This window comes from Homo sapiens, chromosome 17 (genome assembly GCF_000001405.40).
Source record: "Homo sapiens chromosome 17, GRCh38.p14 Primary Assembly".
Classification (NCBI taxonomy): domain Eukaryota; kingdom Metazoa; phylum Chordata; class Mammalia; order Primates; family Hominidae; genus Homo; species Homo sapiens.
Window position 1 is genome coordinate 3520481 of NC_000017.11, and position 23265 is coordinate 3543745.

The 23265-nt window shown below is 50.8% G+C and overlaps 1 protein-coding gene across 2 annotated transcripts in view, besides 3 other annotated features; it reads right to left on the reverse strand.

The window, feature by feature from the left end:
• The window catches only part of TRPV3 (transient receptor potential cation channel subfamily V member 3), a 47311-nt gene that overhangs the window by 9979 nt on the left and 14067 nt on the right, over positions 1-23265 (reverse strand). For both annotated transcript variants that reach the window (NM_145068.4, NM_001258205.2), the window contains exons 5-14: positions 22994-23148; positions 22042-22218; positions 15093-15233; positions 12177-12457; positions 9547-9723; positions 8357-8515; positions 7545-7646; positions 6374-6447; positions 3718-3883; positions 493-559 (exon numbers count right to left, since the gene is read on the reverse strand). In NM_145068.4, coding sequence (NP_659505.1) covers positions 493-559; positions 3718-3883; positions 6374-6447; positions 7545-7646; positions 8357-8515; positions 9547-9723; positions 12177-12457; positions 15093-15233; positions 22042-22218; positions 22994-23148 — 1499 coding nt within the window. The remainder of the gene's footprint in view (positions 1-492; positions 560-3717; positions 3884-6373; positions 6448-7544; positions 7647-8356; positions 8516-9546; positions 9724-12176; positions 12458-15092; positions 15234-22041; positions 22219-22993; positions 23149-23265) is intronic.
• Positions 3735-4234: an enhancer, noted in NCBI's record as "H3K4me1 hESC enhancer chr17:3427509-3428008 (GRCh37/hg19 assembly coordinates)". NCBI's record gives its function as "activates a minimal SCP1, AML or CMV promoter by ChIP-STARR-seq in naive H9 embryonic stem cells {active_cell/tissue: H9 hESC(naive)}" and the evidence as "EXISTENCE:reporter gene assay evidence [ECO:0000049][PMID:30033119]".
• Positions 7125-8045: an enhancer, noted in NCBI's record as "H3K4me1 hESC enhancer chr17:3430899-3431819 (GRCh37/hg19 assembly coordinates)". NCBI's record gives its function as "activates a minimal SCP1, AML or CMV promoter by ChIP-STARR-seq in naive H9 embryonic stem cells {active_cell/tissue: H9 hESC(naive)}" and the evidence as "EXISTENCE:reporter gene assay evidence [ECO:0000049][PMID:30033119]".
• Positions 15269-15318: a silencer, noted in NCBI's record as "silent region_8012". NCBI's record gives its function as "represses an Ori minimal core promoter by ATAC-STARR-seq in GM12878 lymphoblastoid cells {active_cell/tissue: GM12878}" and the evidence as "EXISTENCE:reporter gene assay evidence [ECO:0000049][PMID:35858748]".

The following is a 23265-nucleotide window of genomic DNA, read 5'->3' on the forward strand; positions in this document are numbered from 1 at the left end:
TTGCAGAACCTATCTTAGGTCGTGAGGGCCACGTAAGCAATGAATGGGAAAGCCAGAGGTATATACCACATGGTGAAGTTGGATTATGAGTGGCTGGCCTGGTTTGAATCCTGGAGTCTCTAAGCCTCAGTTACCTTATGATCGGGGTGATGATTCCCACTTGATCAAGTTGTTGAGAGAAGTAAAAAGGTAATGCTTGATTAGGAGATATACCTAATGTAAATGACGAGTTAATGGGTGCAGCATACCAACATGGCACATGTATACATATGTAACAAACCTGCATGTTGTGCACATGTACCCTAGAACTTAAAGTATAATAAAATATATATGTATATATATAAAGGTAATGCTTGGAAAATGCCAAGCATGGCAAGTGCCCCACTGGTAGTTGGTCTAATTGTTGCCAAGGCCGCCATGCACTTTGCCATTTTGACATCTGTATAAAGTGTTTATAAATGTGGGAGTTACTATTATTTATAAATCAATTACCTACTCCAAATCCAAGCAAAAACACGATATATACAAACAAGAACTTCAGAACATCATGCAAAATGACCTATAAGGAAATAAACATAATTCAAGTGTAAGGTGCAAGCACATATTCACGGCACCCTGATCTTCCTGCTTCCCACCCTCTCCCACCCCCCACCCTAACTGTCTCTTCACTTGGGCCACTCTCCCTTCCCCCAGCCAAATCCTCCTGATGCTCCAAGGCTCAACACTGGATCCTGCCTCCTCCAGGAAGCCTTCTGTTTCTGCTCCAGCCCCAGGTTCTCTTCTCCCTGTGATTCACCCTGTACCTTTCACCATAGGGTCTCACACTGGAATCCTCACACTTGCTGGGGGCAGTGGCATGCTGGAGCCAGCTCAGAAGAGCTCGCAAGAGCTGATCGTTAAATTCTCATGAAGCTTGTGAGCTGGTTGTTAAACACAGCCATTATTCAGAACTAAATCAATGAATAAGATGAATAAGTTCTGGGGATCTAATGGACAGCATGATGACTATAGTGAACAATACCGTGTTGTGTACTAGAAATTTGCTAAGAGAATAGATCATAAATGTTCTCACCACACACAAAGAAATGGCAACTATGTGAGGTGATGGGTGTGTTAATTGGAAATTGGAAATCATTTCACAATATATACCTATATCAAATCCTCACATTGTACATCTTAAATTTATACAATTATATATGTCAGCTGTACCTCAATAAAGCTGGGGGTAAAGAAATTATTATTTGTATTGCCAAAAAATTAAACCATATAAACTTACAATTAAATAAAATAAGTTATATTTAAAACAAAGACAGGCCAGGGTGCAGTGACTCACGCCTGTAATCCCAACACTTTGAGAGGCTGAGGTGGGTGGATCGCCTGAGGTCAGGAGTTGGAGGCCAGCTTGGCCAACATGGCGAAACCCCGTCTCTACTAAAAATACAAAAATTAGCTGGGTGTGGTGGCACACACCTGTGATCCCAGCTACTCCAGAGGCTGAGGCGGGAGAATTGCTTGAACCCAGGAGGAAGGGGTTGCAGTGAGCCTAGATCGCACCACTGCACTCCAGCCTGGGGGGCAGAGCCAGACTCTGTCTCAAAAAATTAATTAATTAATTAATTTAATTAAATAAAACAAAGACAATAAATGTTCAAAACTCATCCCCGTCCAGTTATTTCACTATATTTACAATTGTGTGTGCTTTTGAGGTTACTTGTCTCTATCATAGCCATATGGCAGGAATTCTAGAGCGATGTGGATCTGCATGTTTCTCCCTAACTCTATGTCCAGTAACATAATGTTGGTAGCTGGAAATTGGCCCTGAGAGGAGAACAGTAGTCCGCCCTTCTCTTCGATTTCACTTTCTGCAGTTTTGGTTGCCTGTGGTCAACTATGACCCAGAAATATTACACACAATACAATATTCTGAGAGAGACAACATTCACATACTTTTATTACAGTATATTGTTATCATTGTTCTGTTAGTTATTGCCATTAATCTCACTATGCCTAATTGATAAAATAAATTTTATAAATTCCACATAGCCAGTTGAGTCTTAGAATAATTTGTTGATTCCCCCCCCCACCCCCCAGCACTTTGGGAGGCCGAGGCGGACGGATCACCTGAGGTCAAGAGTTGGAGACCAGCCTGGCCAACATGGCGAAACCCCATCTCTACTAAAAATACAAAAATTAGCTGGGCATGGTGCATGCCTGTAGTCCCAGCTACTCAGGAGGCTGGGGCGGGAGAATTGCTTGAGCCCGGGAGGCAGAGGTTGCAGTGAGCCGAGATTGCACTATTGCACTCCAGCCTGGGCAACAGAGCGAGACTCAGTCACAAACAAAAAAAAAAAAAAAAAGCAAAAATTATTCTAAGACTCAACTGGCTAAGTGGAATTTACAATAAACTGTATTGTATAGTATATTTTCATTATTTGCATAGATGTATATGTATAGGAAAAAACATAGCATATTATATAATGTTTGGTACTATCTGCAGTTTCAGGCATTCATGGGGGGTCTTAGAACATCTCCCCCAAGAATAAGGGGGGACTACTGTATTTACATCATGAAAATTGGTAAATGCCACAAATCAGAGATTGATTGACTCATTGTTTTGTTGATATCTAGATCTAAATGATTTAAGACAGTGATGGAGAAACTATTAATCCAGTTTAAATTTTAAAATGTGTTCTGTCTGCAGCCTTTACATTATGTATAGCACAAAAATATCAACAGAATATTATTCTGGTATTTGCAAACTAGTATCCAATTCAGCAAAGAAGTTGCTCACATCATTGATAAACAAGTAAAGTTCAACATAAATCTTAATTGTTTCACTTCAATCACTGCTTATAAAGAAAACTCTCAACCAACATTCATGTCTGATAGCACTCTTTTGTCAATTGCAACCAAAAGTTGACAACAAAAACTAGAATTCAATAAAAAGCAACAAATAGGCCTGGCGCGGTGGTTCATGCCTGTAATCCCAGCACTTTGGGAGGCCGAGGCAGGTGGATCACCTGAGGTCAGGAGTTCAAGACAATCCTGGCCAACATGCTGAAACCCTGTCTCTACTAAAAATACAAAAATTAGCCAACATGGTGGTGCGTGCCTGTGATCCCAGCTACTCTGGAGGCTGAGGCAGGAGAACTGCTTGAACCCAGGAGGCAGAGGTTGCAGGGAGCCGAGATCGCACCACTTTACTCTGGCCTGGGCAGCAGAGCAAGACTTGGTCTCCAAAAAAAAAAAAAAAAAGCAACAAATTATTCTGAGACTCAACTGGCTATGTGGAATTTACAATAAACTGCATGGTATATTTTCATTATTTGCAAATTGTGTGATACACATCGTTTATATAGTAAAATGTATGATAAGTCTTTTGTGTATATATATGGAATATACATATTCCACCTACACACACACACATACACACACACACACACAGAACAGTCGTTAAATGTTTACCAGCACGCCACTGCCCAGGGGTGAGAACATTCCTCCACAAACTGTACCCCTCCCCAGCACCCCACAAGCCTGGGGGATTTAAGGTCTTGACACTTAAAGCCTGGCCGAAAGCAAAGGGAGTGCATGGCATTTGGGAGAAAGAGCAGTGACCTGCCCCTTGGTAAACCCCTCTTCCTCTCCAGATCTCAGTTTCCCCATCTGAAAAATGGCCATCCTCCGAGGGCCCTCCCGCCGGCGCAGCTCTCAACGCACCTTCTGGATCATGACGCTGTACATGCCCATGGACTGGAAACCCCGCGTATAGTAGAGCATGTTCGCCCAGCCCAGGGCCATGGCCAGCACGAGGCAGGCGAGGTACTCTTTGTAGGCAAACAAGTACAAGAAGACAGACAGTATCACAAGCACAGCTTGGATAAAACTGTTCAGGAGACACAGGAGACACGGGCCTTACTTACTTCTCAGCATCAGGGCAAAGATATGCAAATCCCCCAAACCTCCCTTAAACCCCCTGAACAGTCACCCCGGTGACGGATGCTGAAGAGACCAGAATCACGCTGCCTCAGATCCATTTGGCTACCATAGAATTCAGCCTGTAGAGACATCACCAGATGCCACTCACAGCCTGTGGTAAGCTGATTGCAGCTGGTGGGGACTTTAAAAAAAGAAAAAACACACATCCACAGGGCCGCAGAAGATTCTAGGGTACTGCCCGGGAGGCCATATATTTTTTAAATTACCCACACGGGCCTGGTGTAGTGGCTTTCGCCTGTAATCCCAACACTTTGGGGGGCTGAGATAGGAGAAACGCTTCAGGCCAGGAGTTCAGGACCAGCCTGAGTGACATAGTGAGACCTTGTCTCTACAAAAAAAAAAAAAAAAAGAAAAGAAAAATAATCTAAATCACCCACATAATTTCTGACTCCTGCATCGATTTGAGAACTACTGGAGTAGACCAAAGATGTGGTAAATGATTGTATTTTTAACCAAAATGACAAAAACTGCCAATATCTATACTTAAAAGCCAATCATAGCAAAAGTCCCCCAAACCCTACTTTTTAAATCGTGGTGTTTTTTGGGGGGGTCAGGGGGGCAGAGACAGGGTCTTGCTCTGTCACCTAGGCTGGAGTACAGTGGCATGAACTCTGCTCACTGCAACCTCCGCCTCCCAGGCTCAAGTGATTCTCCTGCCTCAGCCTCCCTAGTAGCTGGGATTACAGGCACCCGCCACCACACCAGGCTCATTTTTGTATTTTTAGTAGAGATGGGGTTTCACCATGTTGGCCAGGCTGGTCTCGAACTTCTGACCTCAGGTGATCCACCCACCTCGGCCTCCCAAAGTGCTGGGATTACAGGCGTGAGCCAACGCGCCCAGCATTAAATCTTTTTAAAGTATGATGTATGCTAAGTGAAATAAGATAGGTGACTCCACTATATGACTGTACCTAAAATAGTCCAATTCACAGAGAAAGATGGAAGAATGGTGGTTACAGGGGGCCGGGAAAGGAGAGGAATAGGGGCTGTTGTTTAAGGGGTATGGAGTTTGAGTTTTACAGGACGAAAACAGTTCTAAAGACTGATTGCCCAACAACATGAATGTACTTCACAGTATTGATTTCTACGCTTAAAAAATGGGTGCAATGCTAACTTTTATGCTATGTGTATTTTACCACAATTAATTTTTTTTTTTTTTTTGAGATGTAGTCTCACTCTGTCGCCCAGGCTGGAGTACAGTGGCATGATCTCGGCTCACTGCAGCCTCCGCCTCCCTGGTTCAAGCAATTCTCCTGCCTCAGCCTCCAGAGTAGCTGGGATTACAGGTGCATGCCACCACACACAAGGCTAATTTTTGTATTTTTTGTAGAGAGAGGGGATTTCACCAGACTGGTCTCAAACTCCTGACCTCAGATGATAGGCCCACCTTGGCCCACCAAAGTGCTGGGATTACAAGCATGACCCATCGTGCCCGGCCCACAGTTAAAATGTTTTTAAGTATAATATATCGCAAACATACAAAATCAATATCTACTCCTACACAGTCACATGCAGACATCTGCATAACATCCATTATGCAGACATCTGGATAAAAACACTGTCTTATAACATCAGACAGTTTCCAAAATTATAAAATAGCTAACCAAAGTCACAACACAGGCACGATTGTAAGAAAAACCATCTAATTCATCAACTGCATTTTAGACTGAAATGAAGAATGTCTCCCTCCACACTAACAAAACAAATAAGAAGCAGAAGAGGCCGGCGCAGGAGCTCACACCTGGAATCCCAGCACTCTGCAAGGCTGAGGTGGGCAGATCACTTGAGGTCAGGAGTTCAAGACCAGCCTGACCAACATGGCGAAACCCTGTCTCTACTAAAAATACAAAAAGGAGCCAGGTGTGATGGTGCACGTCTGTAATCCCAGCTACTCAGGAGGCTGAGGCAGGAGAATCGCTTGAACCTGGGAGGTGGAGGTTGCAGTGAGCCGAGGTCACGCCACTGCACTCCAGCCTGGGCAACAAGAGTAAAACTCCACCTCAACTAAAAAAAAAAAACAACAACGTAAACAGGACTGCTAAGCCTGTTGCCGCCTTCTCCACTCCATGCTGCCTTCCACGTGGGGCTCTGTGATGGGTAGAGTTGGCCATCACCACCATCTCAGCCTCCCAGAGTGCTGGAATTACAGGCGTGAGCCACTGGGCCCCACAGCCCTGAAGTTTTCTGACCTTCTCCATGGGCATTTACGTGTCTCCTACTAGGAGGAAGAGAGGAGACCCCTGGCGTGTAACCATGGCAGAGTGACTGGGACACCGTGGCACAGTAGGATATTTGTTCAAGAGGCGGACACGGCAGCCACCATACAGGACGTCAACCCTGCCTGTGAGGCGATAACCAAGGGGCCAGACCTACTTACAAGACAAAGTGGAACCAGGCATCCGAGAGGATGGACTGCAGATCCGAGGGTCTCAGCAGGAAGATGGCAATGCCCTAAGGCCAGGAAGGAAAGAAACAGTGCACCCTCTTCATGGCCCTCAGCAGGGGAGCTGAGCAGAGGGTGCTTCCCCAGGACCAAGACTCAGTGAGGGTTGAATGCACAAAGGCCCAGCTAGAGTCCAGGTGGCGGATCTGAAAGGGGACCTGTGCCTGGGGGGCGTAGGCACCTCCACGGTGAAGGTGAACGCTCCCTCAAATCTTCTCACCTCCCTCACTCCTTACCCCATCCTCACCCCAGAACCTGCAAAGCGGTACTACCACTACAGCCGCCTTCCATTCCCCACATCCAGCCTAGCGTTCCAGCCTCCGAGCCTTTGCTCATGCTGTTCCCCATATCCACCCTGTAATGACCTTGTCCTCATCGTCCTCGTGCCCAATCCTACCCCACCAGAGTAAGTGCCATCTCTGCCTTCAAGCATCTCTACCATTCCCTGTCCCCAGATAAAAGTCACCTCCCTTCCTCTGAACACTGATCTGAACCCAGCTTAGGGTCTTTTTCGGTCTATCATAAAGTCTTGATATTTATGCCTATGCTATGTCCCCAACCAGGCTGTGAATTCAAAGAGGGCAAACTCGTCCCAACCCTGTCACCTCCTCCAGGGCCACACATATATAGAAGGTGCTCAGATTATATGTGTTGATTCATTGGATGGATGGAAGGATGGATGGATGGATGGATGGATGGACGGATGGACAGATGGAGAGATGGAAAGATGGTTGGATAAAGGATAGAAGGATGGTCGGTAAGGATGAGTGGACATGTGAATGGATGAATGAGTGGCTGGGTCCATGAAAGAGGGCAGGTGATCGGATGGGTGGATGGGGGTGGAAGAGGACAAGGGACACTGAGTGGCTGGGAAGGTAGATAAATGGCGGATAGTTGGGCAGATGGATAGAGAAGTAGATGGATGAAGTAGGTAGGATAGGCCAGCCTTATCCATTTTTTCCCATGTTATAACTCAGAAAGGTAAGGCTTGGGAAGGAAACGCCTCCCCAGAACCCCCCAGCAGTAATGGCAGAGCAGAGAGGGATGGAGGCTGTCACCTGCCTGCCTCGCGGGGCGGTCTGGAAGGGCCGGGTGGCCCACTTACCTCTTTCACAGAGATGCACATGGCCCAGATGAGCACAAACATCCTCCCTAGGAGCTGCAGCCACCCCATCTTGTGCGTCAGGGCCAAGGGGTGCGGGATGGCCTGCAGGGAAAGAAGAGGGGTGGTCAGTATAGGAAGCAAGGAGGACAGGGCTGGCACCAACTCTAGAGGGACCAAAACCCAGGTGAAACACTCAAGCCGGGCCAGAGACCAGCATGAAACCTGATCTCTGTACAGGGCAAGAGAAGGAAGAGCAGCTCCCTGACCCCAACTCTCCTCACCCTTGATGGAAACCCAGAACTCTACAACGAAGAATATCATCCAATCCGTGCTAACAACCCTCACACTCCATTGCAATAGCCTTTCCGGAACCCATCCATATCCAGGCACTCAACATGGCCTCACAGCACCGTTAAATAAAGCCGAGGCTCTGTGCCCCACGTGACGCATGGGAAACCGAAGCCCAGCAGGCAGGGAGAGCTTATCCTCCTCCCGTTTCCTGCAGCCCTCACAGCAGAAACACCCAGCTAGTTCTATATTTACAGACAGAGACCCTGTGCAGGGCCTGAGTCTCCGAATTCTCCAACTTTCCTCCCAGCAAGGGTCTGCCCTTGGGACTCGGCACCTGGGGCTTAGCCCAGGCTAAGCACTGAAGACATATTCAGTTCCCTGGGAAGCGTGAAGGACAACTGGGGGACCCCGCCCAATCTCCTGGTCTCTCTGGGCCTCAGTTTTCCCACCTGCACGTGGGGCAGCTCCAAGCCCCTCCAGCTCTGACGGCCCCATTTTCCCCCTCCAAGGGGCCCACGTACCTCCTCCTCCCGGGGGCGGTAGTACGAGACGAGGGTCAGGGTGATGTTGTAGAAGAAATAAAAGCAGAAGGACAGAAAGAACATGTGCTTGGCAAACTTCTTCCACTTCATATGCAGCAGCGTGTGCAGCGGCTCCAGGGTCAGCATCTCATGCCGGTTCTAGGGGTAGAATGCCACCAGTCACCATGGAGATGAGGGAGAGAGGGAGGGACCGTTTTCTAAAGGCCTGCGGGAGCTCTGAGTCAGTGCTGCAGAAGGGGCCCATCATTATGCCCGATGGACTGGTCTGGTTGGAAATGCTGGGAGGGTGATTTCCGGCTCCTGAGGCTCCTCCCCAGGGTACTAGGGCAGCAGTCAGAGGCCGCAGGAGCCCGGGCTTGCAGCAGGAGGACCCGATGCACAGCAGAAAGTGGAGGATAGAAGCGGGCAGGAGGTGGTGGCAGGGGTTCCAGCCCCAGTTTGCTCCTCCTTTGCTGTGTGACTTTAGGACAGACCCTGACCCTCTCTGGGCCTCAGACTCCTCACCTATAAAACTGCTAACAATCCCTGCCCTACCAACCAGGCTGCTGTGAGGGTCTGGGAAGACCCAAGGCAAGGGGACTCTGGGAAGCATGACTCTTAGTAAAGTATGAAGGAGGAAGACCCAGCCTGCTGCCTCACTGCCCCCAAGAGCTGAACACCTCTCATAGCTGCTCCTCTCTTCACCTCCAGTTGCACCGAACTCTCCCCTCTAGCCTCCTCCAGGAAGGCCCCCCGATTGCTCCTCAGTGCACTCTCTGACCCTCATTTGGGACCAGGTTTTGGGGAAGAAAGAATTCTAAGCCTGGCCGTATACACCAACGGGGGGTGGGAGAGAAACAATATGGAAAGGATCAACCCCAATCACCCCATCACCCACACCCACACCCAAACAGCCCTGGATACTCGGTCCAGAAGACCTCCCGCCCACCGCCCCCGCCACCACCACTCAGGTCTACAGTCCAAGGTCAATCAGGAAGAGTCGGGCCCAGCATCTGTCCCAGGCCTCGCCTTTTCTGTGCCTGACTCTGCTCACTGAGGCAACAGAGTGGGGTATGCAGATGCCGAGGGATGGAGCTGGCAGCACTGGGTCTTCCCAGCGTCCTCTCAGCCCCTGGCCTGAGGTCCAGCCCTCTTCTCCCTGCCCTTCCCCGCCTGTGCAGGAGACCCACGTCGATGTTGGTGTTGTAGACAGTGATTTCCAGCACTGAGTTGTCCGTGGTGGTGTCCACGTTGGTGAGGTCGTAGAGGGAGGATGACACGGGTCCGTACGCCCAGTCGGTGAACTTCCTGGACAGGCTCCGGAGCCGCTTCTCCTTGATCTCACGACTGAGGATGTACTTCAGGATCTGGGACAGGAGGAGGAACAACCATCAGCTGCAGAACAGGGGCTTAAGGCCAACAGGGCTGGACCAGCCAGAGGCTGGCTGGGCCCAGGGGATACACCCGCCCAGAATGGGTGGAGACCTGCCTCTGCGCCTGGCGCCATGGCCCCTGGGCCCCGTCTTTATCTGTGGAATGCGCACAAAGCTTGCTGTTCCGCCCATCTCACTGGGGGTTGTGAATACCAGGGACAAAGGGTGTGAAGGTTCTTCGCAGGCTGCAGCAAGCTGCACAATCAGCTTGAAATGCCTCACGCCAGCTGGGGACCCGGTTCGGTGAAAAATCCAGGCACTGATGATTTTTTAGAAACAGTTTCCATTTGCTCTGGACTTGAGAAGAAGCCAGAAGTGTTCTCAGCGTCCCCAGCCCACCCTAAGCCAAGACTCCTCCAGCTGTGGCTCACCACTCTGGCCAGGCAGGTGGTGACGAGAGACACCACGCCCTACAGGGAGGCCCGTGGGACTTCGGTAGGCCAGTGATCCTCAAACTCTGCTGCATGTTAGGGCTGCTGGGAAACTTAGAAATTCCCACAGCATGGCCAGGTGCAGTAGCTCACGCCTGTAATCCCAGCACTTTGGGAGGCCGAGGCGGGTGGATCATTTGAGGTCAGGAGTTCGAGACCAGCCTGGCCAACATGGTGGAATCCTGTCTCTACTAAAAATACAAAAATTAGCTGGGTGTGGTGGCAGGCGCCTGTAACCCCAGCTACTCAGGAGGCTGAGGCAGGAGAGTCGCTTGAACCTGGGAGGTGGAGGTTGCCGTGAGCCATGATTGCGCCACTGCACTCCAGCCTGGGCAATGAAGTGAGACTCTAGTCTCAAAAAAAACAAAACAAAACAAACAAACAAAAAAACCAAAAATTCCCACAGCATCAACTGATGAAATCGAAATATCCAGGGTGGGACCCAGGAGTCTGTATTTGTGAAGCTTCCTGGTTGGCTCCAAAGTGCAGGCTGGACACAGAGCTGCTGTCTCTGGCTTCCTACTTCCAAAAAGCTGAGCCCTGGGTTACCCCAGGATGAGACATGGACTTCCTAGGACACCAACTCAAGACCCAAGAGGAAGGGACTGTTGGGAAGGACAGTGTCAGAGACCTGGCCTCACAAGACCCACTGGGTTCCCATCCCATCTGTCATGAGAGCCCAGGCAGAGAGCTTCTAGGGATAAGGCCAGGTCTCTCCGCCCCGCACCCCAGCCTATAAAAGCCCCAGGACGGTGGCCAAGCTGGGCAGCATCCAGAAAAGTTTTCTGGAGGACACGGAACAGAGGAGGGAAGCGGGAGACAGGTGCCTCCCCCGGGCCGGCCACAGCGGGCACACTGTCCCCTAGAAAACAAGGGGGTCCTGGGACCATGCTCCATGCAGGAAGCCTCCTCCCTGGGCTGGGGTGGCAGGGACAGCACCCGCCACAGTGGCACACAGGGAAGACGGCCTTGGAGAAGGCTCCTTCTGCAACCACAAGCTGACTCTTCAAAGCCCCAGCAAGCTGTGACCCTGAGGGTAGGCAGGAGCTGCGGGGAGGCAGACACACAATTCCTCCTCTGTTGAAGCCGTTCTCCATCTCCTCCTCCCCCACGGGAGAATCAAAAGGCCCCTTGTGGGTCCCAGCCCTGACCACTTGGGACAGGACCAAGGCCCTCGGGGCAGCTGACCAGGGAGGCGGGTACCCTGAGGCTGGCACAGCTGCGATTACTCAACAGTCACCACCCCCCAGTGTCCTCTGATGGCGTCCCAGGAGCCACAGCCTCCTCGCAGAGCGTAGAGACAGTGAGGCTGAGGAACACGCTTGGACCCCAGAATCAGTCCCCTGAGAAGAACATCTCAGACCAAGCCATGACACCGGCCCCTGAAAGAGATCTGAGCCCAGCCCTGCTCAAGTCTTCACCAAGGCTCCCAGCCAAGCCTCGATTTCTCAGCCACATCACACAAGGCAAGAAGGGCCCAAAGCGGCCACACTCTTGGCTGGGGACCTGGCACAGAGTTCCAACCGCACAAACAGGCTGGGGTCTCCCCATAATTGGGAAATGGCAGCATATTAGCGCTGCGCCCGCAGCAGCCATTCTGGAACTCCCGTCCTCGTGAGAGGCAGAAGGCCCCAAGGGCCACCCACTGCTGGGGCTATTGTGTCACCTCAGCCTCAGGCTCCCCCAGCCTAGCCCTCCCAGGACAAGAGATGGAAACGCGGCGTATTAGGGACTGAAGTCTAGAGAGTGGGCTGCATCGCACCAGCTCCGCGTGGCCCCTCAGAACAAACCTGCCTCCGGCCGCCACGCCACTGCAGTTCTGGACCCAAGGCTGGGACCTTCTCAAGGCTGAGGCTGTGGTTTGTGAATCCCCAGTAAGGCCCCCGGGGCTGAGAGGGTGGCAGCTGTACCTCCTGACCTCCCGACCTCCTGCCTCCCCACGCCCCATGGCCCCACCTCCGCCTTGCCCATCTTGGCGGCCAGCTGCAGCGGCGTGAGGCCATCGTTGTTGCGAGTGGTCTCCAGCTCCCAGTTGCCACTCCGCAGTAGGATCATGTCGTACATGCGCTTCACAAAGTCATTCTGCGTCTTGAAGTCCTCGGCCACGGTCACCAGGGCGTGAAGGATGTTGTTGCCTCGTGAGTCCCGCGAGGTGATGTCCGTCTGCTCGTGCTCCATCAGCAGCTGCACAATCTCGGGCTGGTTGGTGCATGCTGCCAGGGCCAGGGGCGTCTCACCTGGGGGATGAGCGCACTGAAGCTTGGTTCTCTCATGGGCCGGAAGCAGCGTCCCCCAAGCCCCAGGACTGGGGCCCATATCCTATCTCAGCAGGATGGGCACCTCAGGTTCCCTAGCCCTCTCCCCATCTTCCGCTTCTACGGGGAAGAGTGAAGCTAGATCACTGCGGTAGCCTCCTAACTGGCCTCCCTGCCTCCACCCTGGCCCTTTAATACTCTGCTCAGCACAGCAGCCAGACCAACCTGTTAGTGCCTCCCCCAGAATGAAAGCACAGGTTCCAATGACAGCCCACAAAGCCCTGCATACTCTGACCTCCTCTCTCCATCACTCACTCCCTCCTGCTACAACGGCCTTTTTCCACCTCCTCCAACACGCCGCCTGGGGGCCTTCGCTCGGCTGTCCCCTCTGCCTGTAGATAGCCCAGTCACTTTCTCCCTCACCTCCTTCAAGTCCTTGCTCAAATGTCACCTTTCAGTGAGCCACCCTAACCACTCTATTTAAAATTAAAATCCACCCTCCTCTTGTCCCAGACAGAACTCTTGGTTCCTTGTCCTCTGCTTTACTTTTTTTTTTTTTTTTGAGATGGAGTCCTACTCTGTCGCCAGGCTGGAGTGCAGTGGTGCGATCTCGCCTCACTGCAACCTCTGCCTCCCGGGTTCAAGCTATTCTCCTGCCTCAGCCTCCTGAGTAGCTGGGACTACAGGCGCCCGCCACCACGCCCGGCTAATTTTTGTATTTTTAGTAGTGATGGGGTTTCCCCATGTTGGCCAGGATGGTCTTGAACTCCTGACCTCGTGATCCACCTGCCTTGGCCTCCCAAAGTGCTGGGATTACAGATGTGAGTCACTGCACTCGGTCTACTTTGTATTTTTTAAGAGCACTTATCATTTCATATCATAGTATATAAAATTCTTATTTATAGTGCTTATTACCGATGGTCTCTCCCTGTCTAGAATGTAAGTTCCATGAGGGCAAGGATCTCTATTTTGTTCACTGATACATTTCAAGTACCTAGAACAGTGCCTGATGTAGACAGTAAGTGCTCAATAAATGCTTGTTAAGAAAAAATAAGGCAAGTGACTCACATGAGGTCACACAGCAAGCCTGGGACACGACCAGCTCCGGACACCAGGTCTTCAGCTGCCTCCCCTCTCCTCGCCCCACCCAACAAATGCTTCCCAACACCAGGTCCAACCAGCTCCTATGCAGGGCAATGGGGACACACGATGAACTGGACAAGACCCCGTTTTCCAGGACACCCACACCTGGACACGCAGGGCTGCCCAGAGCACAGACTAGCTAGTCCTGCTGATTAAAAAACCACCCAGAAGATAGTCCCAGCTACTCAGGAGGCTGCAGCATGAGAATCGCTTGAACCCAGGAGGCAGAGGCTGCAGTGAGCCAGATGGCACCACTGCACTCCAGCAGCCTGGGCAACAGAGTGAGACTCCATTAAAAAAATAAAAATAAAAAAAATAACACCCAGAAGAGAAAACAGATGGGTGATCATCAGTCAGGCAAGACTGGGTGGCAGGAGGGGTCTCCTCTGCAACAAAGTTACACAGAGAAATTTTTGTGTGTGACGGAGCCATTTGTTCCCTGTTCTGACTGCAGTGGTGGTGAACCAACTCGACGCACTGTGAAAATGAACAGAACTGTCCTCTAACACGGGTGACTTTCACTATATCTAAATTATGCATTTCAATTTTTTTTTTTTTTCCTAGAGCATCCTAACCCCAATTGCTTCTGGACTCTGTGACTTGTGAGGCAGGGGAGTTCTGCCCTCTCACTCTCGACTCCCTGTCTGCAGTCCTGAGATGCACTGGGCCCTGGCACAGAGGTCAGAGCTGGAGGCCAGGACACCTAAGTCAATGCCCTGCTACCCTGGGGCAAGTCCTTTCCCTTCACAGAGCCATCTCCTCGCCTGTAAAATGGGGCTGCCTCCTCAGCCTCCCTCCCAGGTCTCTGTTCCCTCAGAGAGCTACCCAGGACAATGCTTCTAAGACCACCAGGTGACACCACCGGAACATGGACTCCTCCCCCAACACCTCCTCCCAGCCCCTCCTTCTCTGGTCCACCCTGGTGTCCTGCTCAGATGGACATGCCCAGCCTCCTCCCCTCCTGCCCCTCTGGGGCACCAGAGCTTCTTAAGGCAGGGACAGTGTGGGTGGAGCTCAAAGCGGGGTGGCCCCTCCCTTCCTCCCTCCTTCCTTCCTTTCTCTCCCTCCGCCCTCCTTCCTCCTCCCTTCCTCCCTCTCCCTCCTCCTTCTCCCTTCTGTCTCCTGCCTCCCTCCTCCCTCCCTCCCCCTCCTTACTCCTCCTCCCTCTCCCTCCTCCCTCCTCCCTTCCTCCCTCCTTCCTGCTTCCCTCTTCCTTTCTCCCTCCTCCCTTCCTTCCTCTCCCTCCTCCCTTCCTTCCTCCCTCATCCTTCCTGCTTCCTTCCTCCCTCCTCCCTCTCCCTCCTCTCTCCTTCCTGTTTCCCCCTCCCTTCCTCCCTCTCCCTCCTCACTTCCTTCCTCCTTCCCTCTTTCTTCCCCCCTCCTCCCTTCTTCCCTCCTTCCCCTTCCCTCCCTTCCTCTCCCGTCTCCCTCCTCCCTCCTCCCAGACTCCGCACCGGGCGGGGGCGGCACCCACCGAAGTAGAAGCCTTCGTGTTGGTACTTGGGGTTGAAGAAGGCCCCCTTGGCGTGCGCGTTGACGTCGGCGCCGGCGGCGATGAGCAGGGCTGCGATGTCCCCCTGCCGCCGCTCGATGGCGATGTTCAGCGCCGTCTGCCCTGCGGAGCGGGCGGGGACGCGCGGGAGCCTCAGCGCCGGGCACAGGGGCCTCTTGCCCACCCGCTCTGGCCTCCATACCCTCCCCGAACCCACGGGGAGATCAGAACCCTGGTCTGTGTCGCCAGCTACCAGGAATCCCAGCTTTGTTCTTTGCTTCCTTCATGCCTGCGCGGACCCAAGAAATGTTTGTGGAGCGCCTGCTCCGGGCTCCGGCCCCAGGCGCTGGGGGTCAGTGGGTGCCCAAGACGCAATCTCGATTATTTTCCTCAAGAAGCCCGCAGTGTCACTGAGAACGAGGTGCTACGATTCAGAGGGGTGCAGGAGCTGCGGTACCCAGAGCAAGGGCCCTTCACAGCCAGAGAGCGTCAGGGGGCTTCCCAGAGCTCTCTAACCTGGGACCTCAGAAGTTTAGCGAGGCGGTGTGGGGCCAGCTCATCAGCCAGGGCAAGAGGGCAGAGCTTGTGCTAAGGGCCAGAGTCACAGACGGCCTTGAATTAGGAAACTGGCAGGACGAGAATGTAGGGCTCGGTGCATGGGTGTTTTCAGACCTCTCTGGCTGCAAAAGTGGAGGATGCGTTAGAAGCAGCCGAGACCAGTGAAGGAAATGATGAGGCCTGTAATCCCAGCACACTGGGAGGCCAAAGCAGGTGGATCACCTGAGGTCAGGAGTTCGAGAGCAGCCTGACCAACATGGTGAAACATGGTCTGTACTAAAAATACAAAATTAGCCGGCCGTGGGGGCGCATGCCTGTAATCCCAGCTACTTGGGAGGCTGAGGCAGGAGAATCGCTTGAACCCAGGAGGCAGAGGTTGCAGTGAGCCGAGATTGGTCCATTGCACTCCAGCCTGGGCAAGAAGAGTGAAACTCCATCTCAAAAAACAAACAAACAAACAAAAAAATGATGAGGCCTGGACTAAGGGGAGTTGGAGGGCACATGAAGGGTGGAGAAAGGAGGAAGCCCAAAGACCCTCTGGAGAAAGAGCCTTCAGGATGCCCGGCTGGGAAGAAGGGTGTCTCAGGTAAGATCTAGGTATTCAGCCCTGGCGGTGGGTGAATGATACGCTGGTGACACAGCAAGAGGAAAGAAGGGTAGCGGGAGAGACACTAAGCCTGCTGGAGACCAGAGAACTTCCAGATGGAAGGGACCAGAAGGCTGGAGTGGGGGAAGGGTCTCGAAATGCACCAACAGAAACAGCAGTTTCCAAAGAGCTGCCGCTGTGTCATAAACAAACATAGTCTTGGTGGATTAAAGAACCAAGCTTTAAGACACATTAGAAAGTTTGTTTATAGCTAACCTTTTGGTAGGGAAGACCTTCTTAAGCAGGATCCAAAAGGCAGAAACCATAAAGAAAAGGCTGACATATTTGCTTACATAAAGGTTTTTGGTTTTGGGGGTTTTTGGTTTTTTGTTTGTTTGTTTGTATGTTTGACATAGGATCTTGCTGTGTCACCCAGGCTGGAGTGCAGTGGCGTGAGCATAGCTCACTGCAACCTTGAACTCCTGGGCTCAAACGATCCTCCTGTCTCAGCCCCCCAAAAGCTAGACTTTCATATTTGGCATAAGAAATGCTCTAAGACATACAGTTAATCAAACAAAGCAACTTGTAGAATACAGACGTGATGGTCCTATTTTATGTTAGATAAGTAAATAAAACTATTTCTGTGTACATATATACACACACACGTGTGGACTACAGGCCTGCACCACCACTCCCGGCTTATTTTTAAAATTTTTTGTAGAGACAGGATCTTGCTGTGTTGCCCAGGCTGGTCTTGAATTCCTGGGCTCAAGCAATCCCCCTACCTCGGAGATTTCTGTATTTCCGAATGCATCCTAATGAAAGTTAAAGACAAGTGATAGGCTGGGGAAAATATTTGAGATATATAAAAAGGCAATGTGTTTTAGGGCCGGGCGCGGTAGCTCACACCTGTAATCCCAGCACTTTGGGAAGCCGAGGCGGGTGGATCACTTGAGGTCAGGAGTTCGAGACCAGCCTGGCCCACATGGAGAAACCCCATCTCTACTGAAAATACAAAAAAATTAGCCAAGTGTGGTGGCGGGCACCTGTAGTCCCAGCTACTCAGGAGGTTGAAGCAGGAGAATCACTTGAACTCAGGAGGCAGAGATCGCGCCACTGTACTCCAGCCTGGGCTAGAGAGCAAGACTCTGTCTTTTTAAAAAAAAAAAAAAAAAAAAGGCATGCCAGGCACGGTGGCTCACACCTGTAATCCCAGCACTTTGGGAGGCTGAGGCGGGCAGATCACGAGGTCAGGAGATCGAGACCATCCTGGCTAACCTGGTGAAACTCTGTCTCTACTAAAAATACAAAAAATTAGGCGGGCGTGATGGTGAGTGCCTGTAGTCCCAGCTACTCGGGAGGCTGAGGCAGGAGAATGGTGTGAACCCGGGAGGTGGAGCTTGCAGTGAGCATGCCACTGCACTCCAGCCTGGGCAATAGAGCAAGACCCCGTCTCAAAAAAAAAATAGAAAGGCATTGTGTTTTTAAAAGTCTATAATATATTACAAGCGCCTATGAATCAATAGAAAGACAAACAGTCTAAAAGAAAACTGAGAAAAGATTATAAACAAGCACCTCACAGAGGAGAAAATACACACAGTGAATAAACAAAGTGAAAGATGTTTGGAATCACTGGTGGTCAGGAAAATGAAAATTAGAACCTAAAGAGTTAACCCTTTTCACCCACCAGACTGGAAAAGAACAAAAAAAAAAAAAAAAGGATAATTTGCAGTGTTAGTGATAAGTAGGAGAATGAGTATTTCTGTACACCGTTGTGGGGAGAGAGTAAATGAGTATCTTTTAGAGACAAATTTGGCAATAACTATTATAACTTTATTTTATTTATTTAAAAAAAAATTTTTTTTTTTGAGATGGAGTCTCCCTCTGTTGCCCAGGCTGGAGTGCAGTGGCGCGATCTCGGCTCACTGCAACCTCCGCCTCCCAGGTTCAAGTGATCCTCCTGCCCCAGCCTCCCAAGTAGCTGGGATTACAAGCGTGCCCCACCACGCCCTACTAGTTTTTGTATTTTTAGTAGAGATGGGTTTTCACCATGTTGGCTAGGCTGGTCTGGAACTCCTGACCTCAAGTGATCCACCTGCCTTGGCCTCCCAAAGTGCTGGGATTACAGGCATGAGCCACTGCGCCTGGCCACTATTATAACTTTAAATATGCATGCGGTTGAACCCAGATATTCCAATTCAAAATATTTTCTGAAACATATGTGCACCTGTGCACAGGGTCATAGACAAGATCGTGCACTGTGACATTGTCACAACACAGCTGGAAACACCTGACTGTCTGTCAGTGGGGGAGTGGTGAAATTAGCCAAGGTGCAGCCGCAATTGCAGACGAATCTGGTGAAAAGAAGCTAGACTTTCATATTTTGGCATAAGAAGTGCTCCAAGACATATGGTTAATAGTTAATCAAAAAAACCAACTTGTAGAATACAGACAGTATGATAATATTTTATGTTAAATAAATAAAACTTTTTCTGTGTGCACATATACACACACAAATGTCAAAGGCCTAGAAAACTCCACAAAGTATATGGGTAAAGGACTTAAAAAAAAAAAAAGTATGTAAAATGCTGGGCTGCTTTACAATGAAACTCTATTCATGTGACGTGGATGTTGTTAGGCTGGGTGCGGTGGCTCACGCCTATAATCCCATCATTGAGAGGCAGAGGCGGGAGGATTGCTTGAGCCCCGGAGTTACAGACCAGCCTGGGCAACATGGTGAAACCCTATCCCTGCAACAAATAGAAAAATTAGCTGGGCGGGGTGGCACGCATCTATAGTCCCAGCTACTCGGGAGGCTGAGGTGGGAAAATTACCTGAGCCCAGGGAGGTCAAGGCTGCAGCGAGTCGTGGTCGCGCCACTGCACTCCAGCCTGCCCAACAGAGTGAGAACCTGTCTCAAAAACAATAATAAAATAAAATAAAGTAAAATAATAAAAAGAAACTGTTATATTGAATCTGATGATGGATGTGTAGAGGTTTATTATTCTAATATCTTAACTTCATGTTTAAAATTTTTATAATAAAAATGTCTTAATTGAAGAATTGCTTAAAAAAGTAAAACTCTGAAGGCCTCTGATAAAATGCTTTAAAATGATATGAATAAAGTTGTGATTGGTTCCTCTTAGCAGCATAGGGAGGAAATATTCGCCCTTGCCCAGTGGGGAAACTGAGGCTCAGAGAGGTGAGGCAGTTGCCTGTAGTCCCAGCTACTTGGGATGCTGAGGCAGGAGAATCACCTGAACCCGGGAGGCAGAGGTTGTGCCACTGCACTCCAGCCTGGTGACACAGCGGAACTCCATCTCAAAAAATAAATAAATAAATAAATAAATAAATAAATAAACAAAGTCATTGCTCTAAATAAGGTTATTTTAGATACAAAAAAATGCTATGAAAATAAATGAAGATAGGGTGACAGAAAGTGACTGGGGAAGGGAAACTTTAGAGTGGACAATCAGAGTGGTCACCTTGGGTCCTGCCCAGAGTGTGGAAGAATGCTACTCTGCTGGTCCTGGAGCCCCTCTGCTCCGGGTGGAGGAAATGCTAAGAGGAAGGAAGGCACCAGCGGATGGGTCAGAACGGTGGTGGGGTTGGTTTCCAGGAAGACAAGAATAAATAGCTCCTCCCACCATTCAGAGAAAGAGGAGGTGCCCACAGCCTCCCAGACCTCCTCGCCCCAGCAAGAGGCAGATTCATGAAAGGAGAGGGAAAGGGGAGGCTAAGAACAGGGAGAGGTAAGGATCTGTGACCGGGACAGCAAAGTCTTCACAGAAACACTAACAACCTTCTTTCATTCACTCATCCAAAAAATATGTACTAAGCGTCTCTTAGGTGAGACCCTAAGGGTACTGGGAAATGAACTGTAAGCAACAGACTTCATCCCTGCCCTCAAGGGAAACATGTTGCTAGCAAAGGGTAGTTCGTAAGTCCTACAATACTGACAAGAAGAAAGGAGGATACAAAGGGGACTGAAAAGGGAAAATTAGGACAAGCAAGCTTGAGGCACTGGCCTGAACCTCCCTGTCTGCAGGACTACTGTCAACTCCTTAGAGACAGGCTGAGAATGTGATATGGTTCATCCAGTTTCTCTCTTTGCATTGGCTACCAGGGAGCTCAGTGAGCAGTTTAGCACTCAGTTGCAACAGTCTTCCCTAGGTTTCCTCTCCTCCACTCCATATCTTCTAGTTTGTCACAATCCTTGACTTCTTCTTATATATAACAAAAATGCTTTTGAAAGTCTGCAGAGTTCAAATAATAAATCACAATTACTTTCTCCCATGAGAAGGGTTAAAGGCCAAAGCTAAACTCCCACCTGGAAAAACCTAAATTGTGGCAGGGCGTGGTGGCTCACGCCTGGAATCCCAGCACTTTGGGAGGTGAAGGCAGGTGGATCACCTGAGGTTGGGAGTTTGAGACCAGCCTGGCCAAAATGGTGAAACCCCGTCTCTACTAAAAATCCAAAAAAATTAGCCAGGCATGGTGGCAGGTGCCTGTAATCCCAGTTACTTGGGAGGCTGAGGCAGGAGAATCGCTTGAACCTGGGAGGCAGAGGTTGCAGTGAGCCAAGATCGCGCCACTGCACTCCAGCCTAGGCAACAGAGCGAGACTCCATGTCAAAAAACAAAAACAAAAAAGCTCAAACATCTAGTGCCCCCAGCATATCAGCAAGACGGCATCCAATTATAATTGAGTCAATCGCTTTTGCCACGAGCACCTCATAAGACCGTAAAGCGCTGTTGACTGACTCCAAAACTCAAATAAAGACACATCTTACTGATTTTCCCCTGTGGATTTCCTGGGAGGGAGCCACTCTCCCAAATTTGCTCTCCCAGCATCCTCTCTGGCCCACTTACAAAGAAATCCACAAAACTGAGACCCAAATGGGGACAGTTAATGATGATGATGATGATGACAACAGTCGACTTTTGGTGGCCCCTGCCCGGCTCTCTTGCCTCACTTCCAGCCTTCTTTTCATTGCTCAACCATGCCAAGCTCAATCCCATCTTGGGGCTTTCGCCCTGATCCTTCTCATCATGTCGGCCTCAGGCCAAAGATGACCACTCTGACTGTCCACTCTAAAGTTGCCCTCCCCCAGTCACTTTCTGTCACACTATCTTCATTTATTTTCGTAATATTTTAAATCTAAAATTATCTTATTTAGAGCAGTGACTTTCTTTCTTTTCTTTGTTTCTTTTTCTTTCTGTCTTTACTTATTTATTTATTTTGAGATGGAGTCCCGCTCTGTCACTAGGCTGGAGTGCAATGGCGATCTCGGCTCACTGCAACCTCCGCCTCCTGGGTTCAGGTGATTCTCCTGCCTCAGCCTCCCAAGTAGCTGGGATTACAGGCACCTGCCACCATGCCCGGCTGATTTTTGTATTTTTAGTAGAGACGGGGTTTCACCATGTTGGTCAGGCTGGTCTTGAACTCCGGACCTCAGGTGATCCACCCGCCTCAGCCTCCCAAAGTGCTGGGATTCCAGGCGTGAGCCACCACGCCCGGCCTTAGAGCAGTGGCTTTAACCTGTCTTGTTCACCAGTGCATGCCCATGCCAAAAACAATGCCTGGCATGGAACCAGTGCTCAAAATTATTTGCAGAATGAAGGAAGAAAGAGAGGGTTGCCTGAAGCATCCCTGGTACCATGCTACATGCTTGGGGCTCCTCAATGGCAGCAGTGCCTCCACGTGGCCTGGCCAGCAGTGGCCCTGTGGCCCCATACCCCACCCTCAGAGACTCCTGTCTGCACAGCCCCTCTGCAGGCAGGATACCTTCATAGGCCTCCTCTGTGTACTCGGCGTTGATGAACCTGCCCAGGATGTCGTTCTCTTCAGCAAAGGCAAGCAGGATCCGCACTATCTCCTTGGTGTTGGGGTTGATGTTTAACAAGGCCTTCATCAGGCAGGTCTTCCCCGTGTCGGAGGCCGTCAGCTTGTGCATGAGGAAGTCTGCAGGCAGGGCCATGGGTGGAGTTACAGGAGGGCCCCGGCTGCCCTTGGCCCTCCCAGCCCAGAGGGTGTGGTTGCTGCAGCCGCAGACCCCAAGCCCCTGCTCCACATCTCCACTCCCAGACCTTACACTTGGCCGCTCTCCTCCCTCTCCAGCTGTTTCTCCTCCGTCTCCTATGCTGGCTCCTTGCTCTCTGTGGCCCATGGGTGACGTATCTGAGGCCTTTTGCTCTTTGCCCACTGTATGGCTTCCCGCTGTCCACCCCCCTGCTGCCACCCTGGAATCTGTCTCCAGCCTGCCCCCTCCTCGTGGCCTGCAAATAAAGCTCATGGCCTCCCCATCAACCTGATACTGCACTGGTCCCCGAGACACCCAGGGCTCCACCAGCCACCAAGCTACCCAAGTCTAAATGGCACCATGCTGGACCCCCCGTCCCTCACTCCCCAGGTCCTCAAATCCTGCCAATGCTACTGGCCGAGGAGCTGCTCAGAACCGTTCCCTTCTCAAGCCCTGCTTCAGGGTCCCAGCCCTGCCTGAACAGTGGCCTTCTCCAGCTTCACCCCCATCTTCCACACAGTAGTCAGACCCGACTCTCACCTGCCCAAACCCTTCTGTGGTTCCCCATTCTCCTCGGAGTCAAGTTCAAAGTCCCTAGCCAGAATTCAAGGCCCCTCACACTCCAGCCTCATGGGTTGGTGAGGGGAGGGGAAAATGGGCACCAGAAGCCAAGCAGGGCCCCCAGCCCTGCACCCTCTGCCAGGCTCAGACACTCACCAGGCACATCCTCATCATGGCGCCGCCTGCAAAGCTCCTGCAGCTCCACCAGCAACTCTACCAACTCCTCCACGCAGCCCTCAGACACGGCTGCAAAGATGCGCTTCTTCAGCCGCCTCTTTTTCCTCCTCTGCTCTTCCTTGGCCAGCTGTGCACTGAAGCCAGAAAATGTTTCCAACTCAACACACACATCCTCTCAAGCTCAATCTCTCCTTTTCCCCGCCAGAGCTGCCTACGGGGCGCTGCAGCTGCCGCCAACATCTCCCATGCCT